Source organism: Homo sapiens, chromosome 8, assembly GCF_000001405.40.
Source record: "Homo sapiens chromosome 8, GRCh38.p14 Primary Assembly".
Lineage (NCBI taxonomy): Eukaryota > Metazoa > Chordata > Mammalia > Primates > Hominidae > Homo > Homo sapiens.
Genome location: NC_000008.11, coordinates 51,792,761 through 51,811,196, shown reverse-complemented (window position 1 = coordinate 51,811,196; position 18,436 = coordinate 51,792,761). Strand labels below are relative to the sequence as shown.

The 18,436-nt window shown below is 39.7% G+C and overlaps 1 protein-coding gene across 7 annotated transcripts in view, besides 2 other annotated features; it reads left to right on the top strand.

Annotated features, from left to right (window-relative positions):
- Positions 1,335-1,856: an enhancer, noted in NCBI's record as "H3K4me1 hESC enhancer chr8:52721901-52722422 (GRCh37/hg19 assembly coordinates)". NCBI's record gives its function as "activates a minimal SCP1, AML or CMV promoter by ChIP-STARR-seq in naive H9 embryonic stem cells {active_cell/tissue: H9 hESC(naive)}" and the evidence as "EXISTENCE:reporter gene assay evidence [ECO:0000049][PMID:30033119]".
- The window catches only part of PXDNL (peroxidasin like), a 489,869-nt gene continuing 473,184 nt past the window's right edge, over positions 1,752-18,436 (top strand). For all 7 annotated transcript variants that reach the window (XR_007060701.1, XM_047421364.1, XM_047421365.1 and 4 more), the window contains exon 1: positions 1,752-2,016. Coding sequence is in view for 5 of the 7 variants with exons in the window: in XM_047421364.1 (XP_047277320.1) it covers positions 1,853-2,016 (164 nt within the window). In the remaining 2 variants the exon portion in view is untranslated. The remainder of the gene's footprint in view (positions 2,017-18,436) is intronic.
- Positions 1,857-2,379: an enhancer, noted in NCBI's record as "H3K4me1 hESC enhancer chr8:52721378-52721900 (GRCh37/hg19 assembly coordinates)". NCBI's record gives its function as "activates a minimal SCP1, AML or CMV promoter by ChIP-STARR-seq in naive H9 embryonic stem cells {active_cell/tissue: H9 hESC(naive)}" and the evidence as "EXISTENCE:reporter gene assay evidence [ECO:0000049][PMID:30033119]".

Here is an 18,436-nt window from a genome sequence, read left to right as displayed (position 1 = left end):
CTGTCTCTACTAAAATACAAAAAATTAACCAGGTGTGGTGACAGGCACCTGTAATCCCAGCTACTCAGGAGGCTGAGGCAGGAGAATCGCTTGAACCTGGAAGGCAGAGGTTGCAGTGAGCCAAGATTGCGCCATTGCACTCTAGCCTGGCAACAGAGTGAGACTCCATCTCAAAAAAAAAAAAAAAAAAAGCTTTATGAATGCTAGATTTTTTTTTATAATTCGAACTGAAAACAAGGCACAAAAACTTGCAGAATTTTTTTCCTTCGACCTAATTATTATACACCCTTAGCTCAATGACTTTTAGAACCGCATGTCTTGCCTTTTTCTCCCTCCTGAACTTACATATTTCTGAGTCCCTACCCTTTTTAAGTCTACTTTATGAATGCAAGATATTTTTATATTTTTGTATTTTATATATTTTATATTATTTATATTTTTTGTATTTTATATTTTGAACTGCAAACAAGGCACAAACCTGCAGGTCTTGTCTATGTCCTCCAAATCACAGGCACTGCCAAGAGCATAGTGATTGTTGGGATTTAAAGGAATAAATTTCGTTTTTTGGCTTTATTGGTATACTTGGACAATAAAAGTCATGTGAACAATGTCAAATGTAAAGTTTAAAATAAATCATTCTTGTTCATGGAGATTAGTTTTGTTTTTTAGATCTTTTTACATTTTAATCTCCCCAAAATCACATATTTAGATATGAACATTTTGCCAAAAGAGGGCAGTATTCGCCTACAGTAGAATGTAAAGGGACTGAAACATTTCTGCAGAGACAAGGATGAACTTATTTTCCTCTTAAGATTGGTCTACTAGTCTGATCATCTGGGATTGACCATGCAAGTTTTAATTTGTTTTCTATTACTTTTATGGATTTAAAACATTTTTGTTTGAAAATGTTAGTCTTTAAAGATAAAGCCAAAAATCTGTTTAAAAATACCTGCTTACAGAATGACCAAAAAGTAGATGTTTTCATATTTATTAAGTTTTCAGACACGTCCTCAACGAGGTGCTGCTCACTTCAGGGAAAGATGGCCAGTTCAAACTGCTGATGAAAAGTCTGCAACCAGCAAGACCACTGCTGCCAGTGTGTCCTGAGGGAGCTTGCATCTGTTTGACTTTACATATACATACTTAGGTTTGTCCATCAGTTGTATCCTCTTGAAGGAGGTATGTGAGTTCATGGTTTTAAGCATATAAATTTAAACGTTAAAAGAAGAAATCAGAAGTAGCCCGTTTGAGTCTTACATGAGTGAAATGTGTTGGGTTTCAGCAGCAGAATATATAGAAGGAAATGAAACAATTTTTATTAAAGAGCATAGTTTGGAATAAAGAAAGAATATGTGCACCTAGATGAACGAATTAGAACTCTGCCTGCCCTTTAGGGTTTGGTAATGTTACCAGATAAAAAAGAAGAAAAGCTGTTCTGCATTGTTTCAATACATTCTTAATCAACTTGGGCTTCAAGAGGACAGCTGGAGGCTAAGAGGTCGGGTTTTTCATCAAATGCGCAGTGGAAGTAATTTTGGAAAAGTTTGTTTGCATTATGCTGCCTAAAACACGGTGTTTTAGAAAGAGGCTTTTGCATTGAAAAGCTTCTCGTCCTCGCCTCTGGGAGTCTAGTGCTTCCTAGAGCTGCTTGTGCCCTCAGCCCTGTAATGTGATATCCCTCCTCCTGGATTGGTCAGAGGGGTGTCCTTTCCCTGGGAGCTGCTTTCCACCACGGCTCCCAAACTTGGCTCAGTCCAGCAGCCACCATCACCACCACTGCGGTTGCTGCTGCAGCTGCAGCTGCTGCTCTCCCTCCGGCTGCTTCTTCGCGTGGCCAGCAGCGAATGGAGCGATGGAGCCCAGACTGTTCTGCTGGACCACTCTCTTTCTCCTGGCCGGGTGGTGCCTGCCAGGGTTGCCCTGCCCCAGCCGGTGCCTTTGCTTTAAGAGCACCGTCCGCTGCATGCACTTGATGCTGGACCACATTCCTCAGGTACCACAGCAGACCACAGTTCTGTAAGTTCACATAAATTCCCCAGAAACCCTCTTCCCCAATGCTTCATTGCTTCTCTGCTAGGACCTGTGTCCTTTTAATTTACGATTCCTAATGCTCTCCCTGCTTGTATACTTAGAAGAGGCTTTTCACTTTTCAAACAATTTCATGGTTCTGCTCTGTTAGACTAGAAAATGTAAGCAATGATGAGTTGACATAAATATATTTGTTTTGGATTCAGTTCTCTTCCAGCATCTTCCAGAACTTAGCATTGAGAATTCTCGTCTTCATTCTTCCTTCAATAATTTTCCTGCATACTTTCTCAATTTATTCCTATTCATCCTCTACTCCCAAGTCTTTGGGCCTCTTAATTGGTCAGCACGTGTCTGCCCCATTTGGAAGGAACTAATTTAACTTTAGAGTGTGGTTTCAATTGATTATGTGCTGACAAATTGTTAGGCTTTGTACTGTGTGTACCTCCTGGGAGGGTGAAGTCCTGAGCCCTCAGCACTTGAAGCACTGTCTGTCTCCAGAACAGACCCTCAAATGGTCCAGTAGAGTTCTTGAATGCTTAAAAGCCTTGTGGAGCAGCCGCTTAGACTAATCGGCATCTAGGAGGCATTACGGGATAGTAGGGCAAACCAGAATTTGGAAGTCAAACAGGTCTGAGTTCAAATCCTATCTTCTCATCTTTAATATTCAGATAATAAACCCAAACATTTAGATTTATTTAGATTAAATTAAGTCATAATTAGATAATTAGAAGGGCAAATCACCACAAAAGAAGAAAAGGATCTGTTTCTAGGGTCTATTTTTAAAGAAAGAAAAAGACGACAAATTCAAAAATTTAAGAAAAAATAAAAGAAGAAAAGGAAAAATGCTGAAAGATGCAGACTAAAGAGGTTTCCTGCTCTATAATAAATATTTTGTGGGTTGTGTCATGTTCATGGAAGACAAAACTGCTTGCAGTGTTTCAAGTCCATTCTTGGGCAGAGGGAAATAGCTTAAAATTCCTGGAATTTTGAGATATAAATGTTTAAGAGGATCATTGCCACACATTTGTCAGTCATAATCGTGAAATGAGGACTTGGTAATAAAAAGTCCAATTTGATGGTATTTACATAGAAAATGACATATTATCCATAGATTTTCATTTCTATAAAGCATTTCATTAATTTTATATGCATGCAGATATCAAAATACGTCTTACTGTAATAACTGAAAGGATTCTTGAACTTGGGAGCACTGCTTATTGCTATGTGGACAGCACAGTTCTGCAAGTGCCTTCAGACTCAGAACCAGCCATTTGTCCTTTTGTAATGACAGTTTTTTGGTAGATAGCAGCAAAGCCTTGGAGAAGGGGCTGCTTGTCTAATGAAGTATCTTGGAGCTACATGAGGTACAACTCGACCTAAATTTTGTTTCCTAGGTGTTTCAAAGAAGAGATTAGCTTGCATTAGACACACACCTCTAAATGTAATGAGCAGAACTGAAGTGATGTTGTCAGTGTTGTCATGCAGAGCCTTCCACTATGTTTAAAAATAAAGCTTAATGGTGGATTCTCAGGCCCTTGGCTAGATTCCTGTCTGGGAGTCTGGTGCCACCACTTACAAAATGTGTTGCCTTGGACAAATTCTTAACTTCTTGGTGTCACAGTTTCCTAATCTGTAAAAATGGAGATGCTAACAGTGTTTGATATGGTTTGGATCTGTGTCCCCACCCAAATCTCATGTTCAATTGTAACTCCCAATGTTGGAGGTGGGGTGCAGTGGGAGGTGATTGGATAGTGGGGGCGGATTCTCATGGTTTAACACCACCTCCCTTGGTGTTGTCATGGCGAGAGTGAGGTATCACAAGATCAGGTTGTTTAAAAGTATATAGCTCTTCTTGCGTCTCTCTTCCTCTTGCTCTGGCCATGTGAAGTTCTCACTCCCCCTTTGCCTTCTGCGATGATTGTAAGTTTCCTGAGGCCTCCCCAGAAGCCAAGCAAAAGTTGCTGTACTTCTTGTACAGCCTGCAGAACCATGAACCAATTAAACCTCTTTTCTTTGTAAATTACCCAGTTTCAGGTATTTCTTTATCACAGTGTGTGAAAACAGACTGATGCACTCTTCACCCTATTGGTTATCTTGAAGATTTAATGAATTAATGCATTTTAAGTACCTAGAAAATTGCTTAGCTCTAGTAAACACTATGGAAGTTTTCACTATTAGTATCATGTTTGCAATTCAGGACAGGAATTACAAACCTAAATATCTCTGGGAACCTGCCAGTAAACAATTTGAGGGAAGTGGGGTAGATGAAAGGCAGACTACTGTGTGATGAATAGCAACTAGCCTGAAGCTTGGAGTGTGTGGGGATGGTAATGAAGGCAGAGGCAGCTCTTGCTAATGGGGCAGCCAGTTACTTAGCTAATTGATGGCCTTTGGGGATTTGGGCCATAGTTTCAAGAAAATATGGAAGCCAAAAGTGACATTCCCTAGCTTTTCAATATTAGCAGCTAATTACATTTTTAGAAATGGAAAGGCAAAAATATACAAGCCCAACCATGCATATTTGTAGGTTGCTTTTTGCCTAGGACCTTCAGTTTGTGACTTCTAGTAGAGAAATGGTATAAAAGCTGAGAAGTATATGTAAAGCCTGTAAAAATTGCTCCTCTACTCCTCTGGGGCTAAAAATCCTTGATGTAGGATTGCATTTTATGTCAGCAATATCATGAAAGATGACAATAACAATTATGGGAAAAAGCCAATTAGTTTTTGAAAACTAAGGCAAATGGAAGCTGAATGAATTTCTCCCCAGCAGCAGAACCAATAGTTTTTGTTAAACCGCCCTTATGTATGTTTATTGTCATTATAACATGGAAATGATGTAAATAATATATTTAGCTCTGCAAATGGCCAACATGCTTAGTAAATGCTTATTAGTAGTAGTGTTAAAATTTCCTTAATTTTTTCCATTTTTACATGTTTTAAAATTTTAGCCTGAATGCAGAAAATATTTTCCTAAATCATAGATAAGAAAACTGTATTATTTTTAAGATTGGTTACAGTTGATCAGGGTTTTAAGTTTAGAAAAATGCAAAACTGTCCCTCCAAATTTTAATTTCATTCTGACTATAAAGATATTGTGTTTCTAAACTAATATCATTTACCAAAAAGCCTGCTGCCATTGAGAAAATCTCACTCTTTGTGCCGTGGATTTTAGTAAAACAAATCTTTCAGAATTAGAATTTGCAAACAAAAAAATGTCCAGTAATGAACACAGCATCTTTAGGGAGCCTGTTCAGTAATCAGAAGCAGTGTATGGTGAGTGTGATTTGACTCCATCCTATTCCAGGGTCATTAGGTTGTACTTTCCTAATTTCCTTAGTTACTGGTTAAGAAATGGACTCAGTGACTGCAAATTGAACATGCTCTAAAAACCACCTTGATTAGAAAAAGTTTTAAGCTTAGGGCTGTTTTAATGATCGAGGATTTTCCTAAAAGTCATAAATACAAAAGTATTTACAATGTGAAATTCTAAACATTTAATTTAAAGACATTTTCTTTATGTGGAAAGCTTTCTTTGCTGTCCAAATAATAGAAAACTTGAGGAACAAGATGGGGGTGGGGAAATGGAAAATGTCTTATGCTCAGTCATGAAAAAGTGTGTCCAGCTGATAAAAAATTTCACCTTGTTCAAGAAGAAAATAGAATTCCTTCAGCTCTTCCAATTTCCATTCATTTTATATATATATAATATATATATCATTTTGTATATATACATAAAATGATGTGTTATGGAATAATAGGGAGTAGCTGCAATCTGAGGCAGCAAACATAATTTTATAATTTAAATTATATATAAAGTTTTATATATAAAATTGTATAATTTAAAATATATATATGTATATATAAAATACAACTTAATAGGGCTTACTTTTACCTTTGTTACAAAATTTTTTGTAGCTTGTTTGTAACCGACATAACTTACTGGCTTTGAATGACCACTTGGCAGTAATGAACAGGCCTGAACTTTTTGGACCTTCCCCCACCTGGCATTGTTGAGGGGAAGCACAGTGGGACCCAGATGAAGTGTGTCAACATTCAAACTTCCCCCAGTGGTTGACTTGTTGGGGAGAGAAATGAAACTGAAAGTGGGCTGTCACTGACCTCCTGACTCAGGCCAGTGTGGTTCTGTGGAGAGGGGCTGGAAGAGGCTGTTCTGGAAGGAAGGGCAGGTGAGTGTGGATGGAGCCCAAGCAGGAGAATGGACATAGGGACAATGTGGAGGTGACAGCTTGAGGAGGTAGAGGAGTAAAGGCCAGCACCACTGGCTGGGGTATAATGTACCCTGGAGACTTGGGAGTCATCCTTCAAGAAACAAATGGACAGACAAATTGTTTTAGAAGGTCAGTGGAGCCAGGATATCCTACAACAGCCTGTACTTAGATGGTATATGCTGATTAAAGTATTAGAACAGTGTTCCCTACACTAAGTGCTGCCTTTCAACCCTACTGTAGATTCTATAAATGAAGTGAAGGGATGTGTTATGGAATAGTAGCTTTGTGGGGAGTAGCCGCAACCTGAGGCAGCAAAGCTGTGGTCCCTGTGCTAGTTGGAGAGCTACTGCACATGGGAAAAGTTGAATGACAGTACAAGTCTGGTGTTAGAAGGACCAATTCTGCTTCTGTATTTATGGAGTAAAAAGGGATGGTGAATGTCCTCGTTTGTCAACTAGATGGGCAACAAAGACAGTGAAATGAGTGAAAAAGAGGAGAAAAAAAATTGAATCATGGAGAGTGTGAAAGCAAAATAAATCTTGGGTCCCCAAAAATCACTAAGCTAAAGGGAAAGGTCAAGCTAGGAACTGCTTAGGGCCAACCTTCCTCCCGTTCTACTCAAAGTCACCCCTCTGCTCACTGAGATATATCTGTATCCGATTGCCTCCTTTGGAGAGGCTAATCAGAAACTCAAAAGAATGTAACCATTTGTTTCTTATCTATGTATGACCTAGAAGCCCCCTCCCCACTTCAAGTTGTCCTCCTTTGCTTCAAGTTGTCCCACCTTCCAGACCAAATCAATATTCATCTTACATAAACTGATTGATGTCTCATGTCTCCCTAAAATGTATAAAACCGAATTGTGCTCTATCATGTCATCAGGACCTCCTGAGGCTGTGTCATGGGAGTGTGTCCTCAACCTTGGCAAAATAAACTTTCTAAATTAACTGAGACCTGTCTTGGATATTTGAGGTTCATACATTGTTGAATTTTGTTGTGTTTTACATGGGCATTCTGGTAGAAGGGGTAGGGGCTCAGAAATATATAAGCTCAGGAGGGAGATAGAGGCAAAACATGCAGTTCTGAAAGTCATTGGGCTAACGGTGTACATTAATTAGGTTGAACAGAAGAAATGAGATTTCCCAGAGGGAAGAATGGGAAAAGGCCACATAGGCTAGAATTCTGGAATGCTCCACGGTCAAGTAAACACAAAGAAGAACAAAAGCCAGGACGGTCACCAGTGGTTGTGTAGGCTGTGTACTGCACAACTCCAAAGTGTGCTGGGAAATGTGCCCCCCTTGCAGCTGTGCAACACTGTGGTCCTGGAGGAAAAGGAGGGAAGAGACAGAGGAACACATCTACCGAAGACTCAGGAGGAGCCCAGAAGACAGTATCGTTTGTTCTTCAAGAGAGAGGATGGGGGCCACATCTGTCAGAGCTCGAGGTGGCAGAGTGCAAATTCCACCTCTAAGAAGTTGGAAGAGAGGGACAGGGTCAAGTGAATTTTGTTGTTTATGTTGGTCTGTTTGTTTTTATGAAGGACAGGGAGAGTTTTTTTGTGTGGTAGGCAAAGGGAATGAGAGTAGTGTGGGAAGAGGAAGGATGTGAGAGCTGAGAAATGGAAAGGTTTTCTACTGGACCTCGCAGTTTCCAAAGAGAGATACTCGCTGAGATATTGATATAAGCAAGTAACTGAGAGCTTCCTGTCTAGATCAACAGTCAGGACACAGACCTCCTTATCTGGGAGGCAGGGAACCCAGCAGGACAGATGGGAGGCCTCCAACCCACAGTGAGCCAAGGCCTCTGGAAGCCTCGTTGCTGCAGCACATGTTCTAACCCAGGTGCAGAATAGGTCTGACATTGATGCTTCTGGCCCCAAAGGGAGAGAGAAACATTAGGACAATTTTGAGGATACCTGGATGTTCAGCTACTACATTATTTTGTAAATGTATTCCTTTGCTTAGACATCTTTCACAAATAATGTTTATAAAGTTTTGTTTTATTCAGTGAAATGTTAACTTTACTCAAGTTGATGTAGGTTTAAGTTATGTAAATGTTTATCAAAAACAAATAGGTACCACTATAACTTAAACATCCTGGTGTGTTCTTTGTTAGCCTGTATATTCCATTCTGCCATGAAGTTCAATAAGCTACTTCACAGGATGCATGAAGGGGTATATCACACAGCCCTTGTTCTTGCTATTATGTAAAATTGGCCATGTCTGACCAAAATTCAAATCACAGACCCTTTTCAAATGCAATATAAAAGCATTCATATGTTCTGCCTTTTGTTTCAGGCAACAGAGTAGCCACAACAAATGACACAGCACAGTTTTATTGTCAAACTCTAGACCAGCGATGTCCAATCTTTTGGCATTCCTGGGCCACACTGGAAGAAGAATTGTCTTGGGCCACACATAAAATACACTAACACTAACAATAGCTGATAACCTGAAAAAAAATTCACAGAAAATCTCATAATGTTTCAAGAAAGTTTACGAATTTGCTTTGGGCCACATTCAAAGCCATCCTGGACCACATGTGACCTGCAGATTGTGGGTTGGACAAGCTTGCTCTAGACAATGAAGTGGAGAAACTCAGAGTTATGTTTAAAATCCATGTTGTTTTGCTGCTCCTTCTGATTAATTTACATAACTTTGTTGGTCTTCTCCAGTGATTCTTCATCGGAGTAGTAAAAACACCAAGAAACATTAACTGTGCAATTCTGACTGTTTTATGCATGCATTTTAAAATTAAAAAAAAAAAAACCTTGAACATGACTCCAGCTAAAAATACTTAAAAAAATTCCTGTCTACTAACTTCTTTAAAAAAAAAATCAGAACTAAAAGCCCTCATTTAACCACAAATGCTACAGAGTGCTAATGGTTACATATGCTATGAGAGACATGCATGATATTTTGTGCAAATGATTTCCAAGAGTAACAACACAGATCTTAAGATTCATGTACTCATGTCGCCTGGAGTGTGAGCCCCAGGAATAAGTAAAAGAGGCACCTGCCTACATGCATGGTTTGAGACAAACCTAGAGGTCCCCCAAAGGTAGATTTCCCAACAGCTTACCAGTTCAACTAATATCCCAATGAAAGATAGACATTTTATCTAACTAAATAGAATGACCTCAGCTTATTAAATTAGTGCCTACCAGTCCAGCCACAATACAATTAGAACATAAGTGGATTGTGTTTATGAAGGTGCAGCAGAAAGTCTAGAGAGGCAGGAACCCAAATGGGCTTTGTGCACACTGTTCTTTATCGGGAACCAGCCCCCAATATTTCAACATAGGTCCTTTCTATTTTCCCTAAGTGTCAGCCAGTCTGAGAAATAAAGAGAAAGAGTGCAAAGAGAGGAATTTTACAGCTGGGCCTCCGGGGGTGACATCACATATCAGTAGGTCCATGATGTCCGCCTGAGCCACAAAACCAGCAGGTTTTTATTAAGGACTTTAAAAGGGGAGGGGGTGTATGAACATGGAGTTGGTCACAAAGATCACAAGCTTTAAAGGGCAATAAAGATCACAAGGCAAAGGGCAAAATTAGAATTACTGATGAAGGTCTATGTTCAGCTGTGCACATACTGTCTTGATAAACATCTTAACAGAAAACAGGGTTCGAGAACAGAGAACTGGTCTGACCTCAAATTTACCAGGGCGGGATCTTTTCCCCACCCTAATAAGCCTGAGGGTACTGCAGGAGACCAGGGCGTATTTCAGTCCTTATCTCAACCACATAGGACAGACACTCCCAGAGCGGCTGTTTATAGACCTCCCCCCAGGAATGCAATTCTTTTCCTAGGGTCTTAATATTTAATATTCCTTGCTAGGAGAAGAATTTAGTGATATTTCTCCTACTTGCACGTCAATTTATAGGCTCTCTGCAAAAAGAAAAATATGGTTCTATTCTGCCCAACCCCGCAGGCAGTCAGACCTTTGGTTGTCTTCCCTTGTTCCCTAAAATCACTGCTATTCTGTTTGTTTCCAAGGTGCACTGATTTCATATTGTTCAAACACCCGTGTTTTACAATCAGATTTCATATTGTCAAACACATGTTCTATAATCAATTTGTACAATAGTGGTCCTGAGGTGATGTACATCCTCAGCTTACAAAGATAACAGGATTAAGAGAGTAAAGTAAGACAGGCATAAGAAATTATAAGAGTATTATTTTGGGGAACTGATAAATGTCCATGAAATCTTCACAATTTATGTTCAGAGATTGCAGTAAAGACAGGCATAAGAAATTATGAAAGTATTAATTTTGGGAACTGATATGTGTCCATATTAAAATGAAATCTTCACAATTTATGTTCCTCTGCCGTGGCTCCAGCTGGTCCCTCCGTTCAGGGTCCCTGACTTCCCACAACAGTTCTTCCTGCCAGGAATGCATCCTTGGCCATTTTCTCCACACTGAGTCTGCCTGTGCTTGTTCTGCAGAAGCAGCTCAGAGCTCACCTTGGGGAAGCCTTTCTTCTCCCTGTTACTCCCAGGCTGCGTGACACACCTTTCCTGTCTTATCTGAATCAGGGAATATACCACGTGGAATTAGCGTTATTAACTTGTCTTTCTGAGAGACTGAGTTCCTTCAGGGCAGAGAACAGAGAAGATAGACAATATAAAATATATTAACATAAAATATTTTACATACCAACATATTTTATGTTGGGATATTAACATAAAATATGTTGCATGCAGGAATGAGCCAATTGGCCCAGTGAAACTTGAGGGGTGCTGAAAATATTGCCCATTTGAAAGTTTGACATGGGGCAGGCCCTCCATTCTAAGAGTGCTGTGGACCACTCTGTGTTTAACAGGGAGTTGCCTGGACTGAAACGATTTTAGTTGTAAGCCTCACTTACTACCTCACCTGTGTTGATGACTACTTTTACAGAAAAGGCTTGTGGTATGTGCCTGTTCAAAGAGGAAAATAGATTCCAAAGACAAAAATTTCTAGGGAAAATCAGCTAAGGGAGAAAAGAGAATTAGAGGCTAAATATTCTGACAAGCAGATATGAGAAATATTTGAGTGCTGATGTGATGGTTAATCCTGTAATGCTGTGAGGGTTGGGCATGGGTAGGGAGAAACTTACAAAGATCTCCATCTCTCTAGTTGGCACCCTTGTTTTAAGCCAGATGTAGGTGCACAGTAAAATGGTTTGTTCTTCATACCTAGATCAGAATGCCTCCTTACCTGGAGCCGTTCCCTTCCTGGCTCACCTTGCCCTGTTATAGAGAGGCTGATTTTGCCATGGTCTATATTTTGGCCAACTCTAAAGACAAGTATAGTTGAAAAGCTGTTGCAGTGTTGAGAATTTATTTTTAAAATGTTCCAAGTTAGCTAAAAGCAGCCACCAAGTAGGGACTATAACTCTGTTTGCATGGGAATCCTAGACAGCTCTCATGGCACCAGCCCAAGACAACAATCAATTATTATATTTTTACACTTCCCAATGTTGGTTATAGTAATAATTATTTTATTTACTTGTACCTCACATTTTCTCAGGAAGATATCTTTTTTTAAAATTTAATTTAATTTTAAGTTCCAGGATACATGTGCAGGACTTGCAGGTTTGTTACATAAGTAAATGTGTGCTATAGTGACTCGCTGCACCTATCAACCCATCACCTAGGTATTAAACTCCACGTGCATTAGCTGTTTATCCTGATGCTCTCCCTCCCTGCCCTGCCCCCACAGGCTCCTGTGTGTGTTTTTCTCCTCCTTGTGTCCATGTGATCTCATTGTTCAGCTCCCACTTATAAGTGAGAAAAAGTGGTGTATGGTGTTCTGTTCCTGTATTAGTTTGCTAAGGATAATGGCTTCCAGCTCCATCCATGTCCCTGCAAAGGAAATTATCTTGTTCCTTTTTATGGCTGCATAGTATTCCATGGTGTATATGTACTACATTTTCTTTATCCAGTCTATCATTGATGGGGATTTGGGTTGATTCCATGTCTTAACTATTGTGAAGATATGTGTGCATGTATCTTTATAATAGAATGATTTATATTCCTTTGGGCATATACCCAGTAATGGGATTGCTGGGTCAAATGGTATTTCTGATTCTAGGTGATTTATATTCCTTTGGGTATATACCCAGTAATGGGATTGCTGGGTCAAATGGTATTTCTGGTTCTAGGTCTTTGAGGAATCACCACACTGTCTTCCACAATGGTTGAACTAATTTACATTCCCACCAACAGTGTAAAAAGGTTCCTGTTTCTCCACAGCCTTGCCAGCATCTGTTGTTTCTTGACTTTTTAATAATCACCACTCTGATTTGCATCAAATGGTATCTTATTGTGGTTTTGATTTGCATTTCTCTAATGATCAGTAATGTGCCTTTTTTCATATGTTTGTTGACTGCATAAATGTCTTCTTTTGAGAAGTGTCTGTTCATGTCCTTTGCCCAGGTTTTAATGGGGTTGTTTTGTTTCTTCCTTGTAAATTTGTTTAAGTTCCTTGCAGATTTTGGATATTAGGCTTTCTCAGATGAATAGATTGCAAAAATTTTTTCCCATTCTGTATGTTGTCTGTTCACTCTGATGATAGTTTCTTTTGCTTTGCAAAAGCTCTATAGTTTAATTAGATTCCGTTAGTCAATTCTTGCTTTTGTTGCAATTGCTTTTGATGTTTTCATCATGAAATCTTTGCCTGTGCCTATGTCCTGAATGGTATTGCCTAGGTTTCCTTCTAGGGTTTTTATGGTTCTGGGTTTTACATTTAAGTCTTTAATCCATCTTGAGTTAATTTTTGTATAAGGTATAATTTTTGTATAATGAGTCCAGTTTCAATTTTCTGCATATGGCTAGCCAGTTTACCCAGCACCTTTTAATAAATAGAGAATCCTTCCCCCATTGCTTGTTTTTGTCAGGTTTGTTGAAGATCAGCTGATTGTAGATGTGTGGTCTTATTTCTGAGATCTCTATTCTGTTCCATTGGTCTATGTGTCTGTTTTTGTATCAGTACCATGCTGTTTTGGTTACTGTAGCCTTGTTGTATTGTTTGACGTCAGGTAGCATGATGCCTCCAGGTTTGTTCTTTTTGCTTAGGATTGTCTTGGCTATACAGGCTCTTTTTTGGTTCCAAATGAATTTTAAAGTAGTTTTTTTTCTAACTCTGTGAAGAATGTCAGTGGTAGTTTAATGGGAATAGCATTGAATCTACAAATTACTTTGGGCAGTATGGCCATTTTCATGATATTAATTCTTCCTATCCATGAACATGGAATGTTTTTCCATTTGTTTGTGTCCTCTCTTATTTCCTAGAGCAGTGGCTTATAGTTCTTTTTGAAGAGGTCATTCACGTACCTTGTAAGTTGTATTCCTAGGTATTTTATTCTCTTTGTAGCAATTGTGAATGGGAGTTTATTCATGATTTGGCTCTCTGCTTGTCTGTTGTTGGTTTATAGGAATGCTTGTGATTTTTGCACATTGACTTTGTATCCTGAGACTTTGCCAAAGGGGCTTATCAGCTTAATAAGCTTTCAGGCTTAAACAATGGGGTTTTCTAGATATCGGATCATGTCATCTGCAAACAGAGACATTTTGACTTCCTCTTTTCCAGTTTGAATACCCTTTATTTCTTTTTCTTGCCTGATTTCCCTGGCCAGAAGGTCCAATACCATGTTGAATAGGAGTGGTGAGAGAGGACATCCTCGTCTTGTGCCAGTTTTCAAGGGGAATGCTTCTAGCTTTTGCCCATTCAGTGTGATATTTGCAGTGGGTTTGTCATAAATGGCTCTTATTATTTTGAGGTATGTTCTATCAATACCAAGTTTATTGAGAGTTTTTAACATGAATCAGTGTTGAATTTTATCAAAGGCCTTTTCTGTGTCTATTGAGATAATCATGTGGTTTTTATCTTTAGTTCTGCTTATGTGATGAATGACATTTACTAATTTGCATATGTTGACCAGCCTTGCATCCTGGGGATGATGCCAACTTGATCATGGTGGATAAGCTTTTAAATGTGCTGCTGGATTTGGTTTGCCAGTATTTTATTGAGGATTTTTGCATTGATACTCATCAAGGATATTGGCCTGAAGTTCTCTTTTTTTGTTGCATCTGTGCCGGGTTTTGGTATCAGGATGATTCTGGCTTCATAAAATGAGTTAGGTAGAAGTCCTTCCTTTTCAATTGTTTGGAATAGTTTCAGAAGAAATGGTACCAGCTCCTCTTTGTACCTCTGGTAGAATTCAGCTGTAAATCCATCTGGTCCTGGGCTTTTTTTTGTTGATAAGCTATGTATTTCTGCCTCAATTTCAGAACTCGTTATTGGTCTATTCAGGGATTTGACTTCTTCCTGGTTTAGTCTTGAAAGGGTGTATGTGTCTAGGAATTTAACCATTTTTTCTAGATTTTCTAGTTTATTTGCATAGAGGTGTTTATAGTATTCTCTGATGGTTGTTTGTATTTCTGTGGGGTCAGTGGTGATAACCCCTTTGTCATTTTTTATTGTGTCTATTTGATTTTTCTCTCTTTTCTTCTTTATTAGTCTAGCTAGTAGTCTATTTTATTAATTTTTTTTTCAAAACACCAGCTCGTGTATTCATTGATTTTTTTGAAGGTTTTTTTTTTTTTGGTTGTTGTTGTTGTGTGTGTCTCTATCTCCTTTCATTTCCACTCTGATCTTGGTTATTCCTTTCATTTCCACTCTGATCTTGGTTATTTTTTGTTTTCTGCTAGCTTTGGAGTTTGTTTTCTCTTAGTTCTCTGGTTCTTTTAATTGTGATGTTAAGGTGTCAATTTGAGATCTTTCTAGTTGTGGGGGTTCATTCAGGCTGGTGGGAAAAATATTAAAGATAGTTATAGTAATAGCCACAAACCTTCTTGGAAGGCCGAGAAATTTGCATAGCTTTAGTAAGGATTATAGCTGAAGGCAACCTGATCCTTACCTTAAGTAAATAGCTTAAAGTGAGTACAAAGGAATGTGGGGAGTTTACCTAATGAGCTTATTTACTCATGTGGTCTTAAGACCAACCTTTGATCATTTGCGGGTGCACGATGTCTCTCTCCAGGGTCGGGGTGACCAGGTTAATTACCCACAGGTGTGTTTAGTCATGACCTTTGTCAATTAATCTTTACTGAATAAATGTAAGTCTCACTGGCAAGTCGGGGCCACGGTTGCAAATAGTGGCCCAGACACTCAGCTGAACTGGCAAAGCAGAGTATCTGTGTGTCAGTGTACTTTATTCATCCATCATTGGGTCAGGGTCTGCAGGACAGACCCCCGCATCTAGCTTTTTGGGCATTTAGTGCTATAAATTTGCCTCTTAACACTGCTTTAGCTGTGTCCCAGAGATTGTGGTACATTGTCTCTGTGTTCCCATTGGCTTTAAAGAACTTCTTGATTTCTGCCTTAATTTCGTTATTTACCCAGGAGTCATTCAGGAGCAGGTTGTTCAATTTACATGTAGTTGTGTGGTTTTGAATGAGTTTCTTTATCTTGAGTTCTAATTTGATTGCACTGTATTCTGAGATACTGTTTGCTATGATTTCAGTTATTTTGCATTTGCTGTGGAGCGTTTTACTTCCAATTATGTGATTGATTTTAGAGTAAGTGCCATGTGGCACCAAGAAGAATGTATATTGTGTTGTTTTCTGGATGGAGAGTTCTGTAGATATCTATCATGTCCACTTGATCCAGAGCTGAGTTCAAGTCCTGAATATCCTAGTTAATTTTCTGTCTTGATGATCTGTCTAATATTGACAGTGTGGTGTTAAAGTCTCCCACTATTATTTTTTGGGAGTCTAAGTCCCTTTGTAGGTCTCTAAGAGCTTTTTTTATGAATCTGGGTGCTCCTGTATTTTGTGCATATACATTTAGGATAGTTATCTCTTCTTGTTGAATTGATCCCTTTACCATTATGTAATGCCCTTCTTTGTCTTTTTGGATCTTGGTTAGTGTAAAGTCTGTTTTGTCAGAAACTAGGATGCTTTTTCCTACTTTCCATTTTCTTAGTAAATTTTCCTCCATCCCTTTATTTGAAGCCTATCTGTGTCTGCACGAGATGAGTCTCTTGAATACAGTACACTGATGGGTCTTGACTTAATTCAGCTTGCCATTCTGTGTCTTTTAATTGGGACAATTAGTCCATTTACATTTAAGATTAATATTATTATGTATGAATTTGATCCTGTCATCATGATGTTGGCTGGTTATTTTGGAGACTTGTTGATGTAGTTGCTTCACAGTGTCATTGGTCTTTGTGCTTCAGTGTGTTTTTGCAGTGGCTGGTAACAGTTTTTCTTTTCCATATTTAGTACTTCCTTCAGGAGCTCTTGCAAGGCAGGCCTGGTGGTGATGAATTCCCTCAGAATTTGCATGTCTGAAAAGGATTTTATTTCTCCTTTGCTTATGAAGCTTAGTTTGGCAGATATGAAATTCTGGGTTGGAAATTCTTTTAAGAATGTTTAATATTGGCCACTAATCTCTTCTGGCTTGTAGGGTTTCTGCTGAGAGGTCTGCAGTTAGTTTGATGGGCTTCCCTTCATAGGGGACCTGGCCTTTCTCTCCAGGTGCCTTTAACATTTTTTCCTTCATTTTGACCTTGGAGAATCTGATGACTGTGTGTCTTGGTGTTGATCTTCTCATGGAGGATCTTACTGGGGTTCTCTGGATTTCCTGAATTTGAATGTTGGCCTGTCTTGTTAGGTTTGGTAAGTTCTCCTGAATGATATCCTGAAGTATGTTTTCCAACTTGGTTCTATTCTCCCCATCTCTTTCAAGTACCCCAATCGGTCATAGGTTCCGTCTTTTCACATAATCCCATAGTTCTCAGAGGTCTTGTTCATTCCTTTTCTTTTCTCTCTAATCTTGTCTGCCTGTCTTGCTTCAGCAAGATAGTCTTCAAGCTCTGAAATTCTTTCTTCTGCTTGGTCTATTCGGTTAATGATACTTGTGGTTGCATTGTGAAATTCTCATGTTGTGTTTTTCAGCTCCATCAGGTCATTTATGCTCCTCTCTAAACTGGTTATTCTGGTCAACAGCTCCTGTAACTTTTTTTTCCATCTTTTGTTGTTGTTGTTGTTGTTGTTGACAGAGTCTTGCTCTGTTGCCCAGGGTAGTGCAGTGGCATGATCTTGGCTCATTGCAGCCTCTGCCTCCCAGATTCAAGTGATTCTCATGCCTTAGCCTCCTGAGTAGCTGGGATTACAGACATGTGTCAGTCACCACGCCCAACTAATTTTTGTATTTTTAGTACAGACGGTGTTTCACTATGTTCGCCAGGCTGGTCTTGAACTCCTGACCTCTAGTGATCTGACCACCTTGGCCTCCCAAAGTGCTGGGATTACAGGCGTGAGTCCTTGTGCCCAGTTCCTATAATGTTTTATCATGGTTCTTAGCTGCTCTACATTGGGTTAGAACATGTTCCTTTAGTTCAGCAAAGTTCATTATTACCCACCTTCTGAAGCCTACTTCTGTTAATTCATCCATCTCAGTCTCTGCTCAGCGCTGTGCCCTTGCTGGAGAGGTGTTGTGATCATTTGGAGGAGAAGTGGTGCTCTGTCTTTTTGAATTACCAGCATTTTTTTGTTGATTCTTTCTCATCTTCATGAGTGATATTATCTGGTTTTGATCTTTGAGGCTGCTGACCTTTGTGGAGTTTTTGTGGGGGCTTTTTTGTTGATGCTGTTGTTGTTATTGTTGCTTTCTGTTTGTTTGCTTGTTTGTTGTTAACAGTCAGACCCCTCTTTCATAGGGCTGCTGTGGTTTCCTGGGGGTCCACTCCAGACCTGGGTCCCTCGTGCAAGTGTCATCAGTGGAGGTTACAGAACAGCAAAGATGGCTGCCGCTCCTTCCCCTGGGCTGTCTGTCCCAGAGGGGCACCAACCTGATGCCGGTGGGAACCCTCCTGTATAAGGTGTCTGGCAACCCCTGTTGTGGGGGGTCTCACCCAATCAGGAGGCATGGGATCTGGGACCTGCTTAACAAAGCACTCTAGCTGCCCCTTGGTGGATAGGGTGTGCTGTGCTGGGGGACATCCCATTTGTCCAGACTGCCTGGTTCTCAGAGCCCTCAGGGGTAAAGACTAAGTCTGCTGATTCATGGAGACCACGGCTGCCTCTCCCTACAGGAGCTCAGTCCCAGGAAGATCAGAGTGCTGTCCCTAAACCCAAGGCTGGAGTTGCGGAAACTCCAGCAGGGAGGCCCCGCCCAGTGAG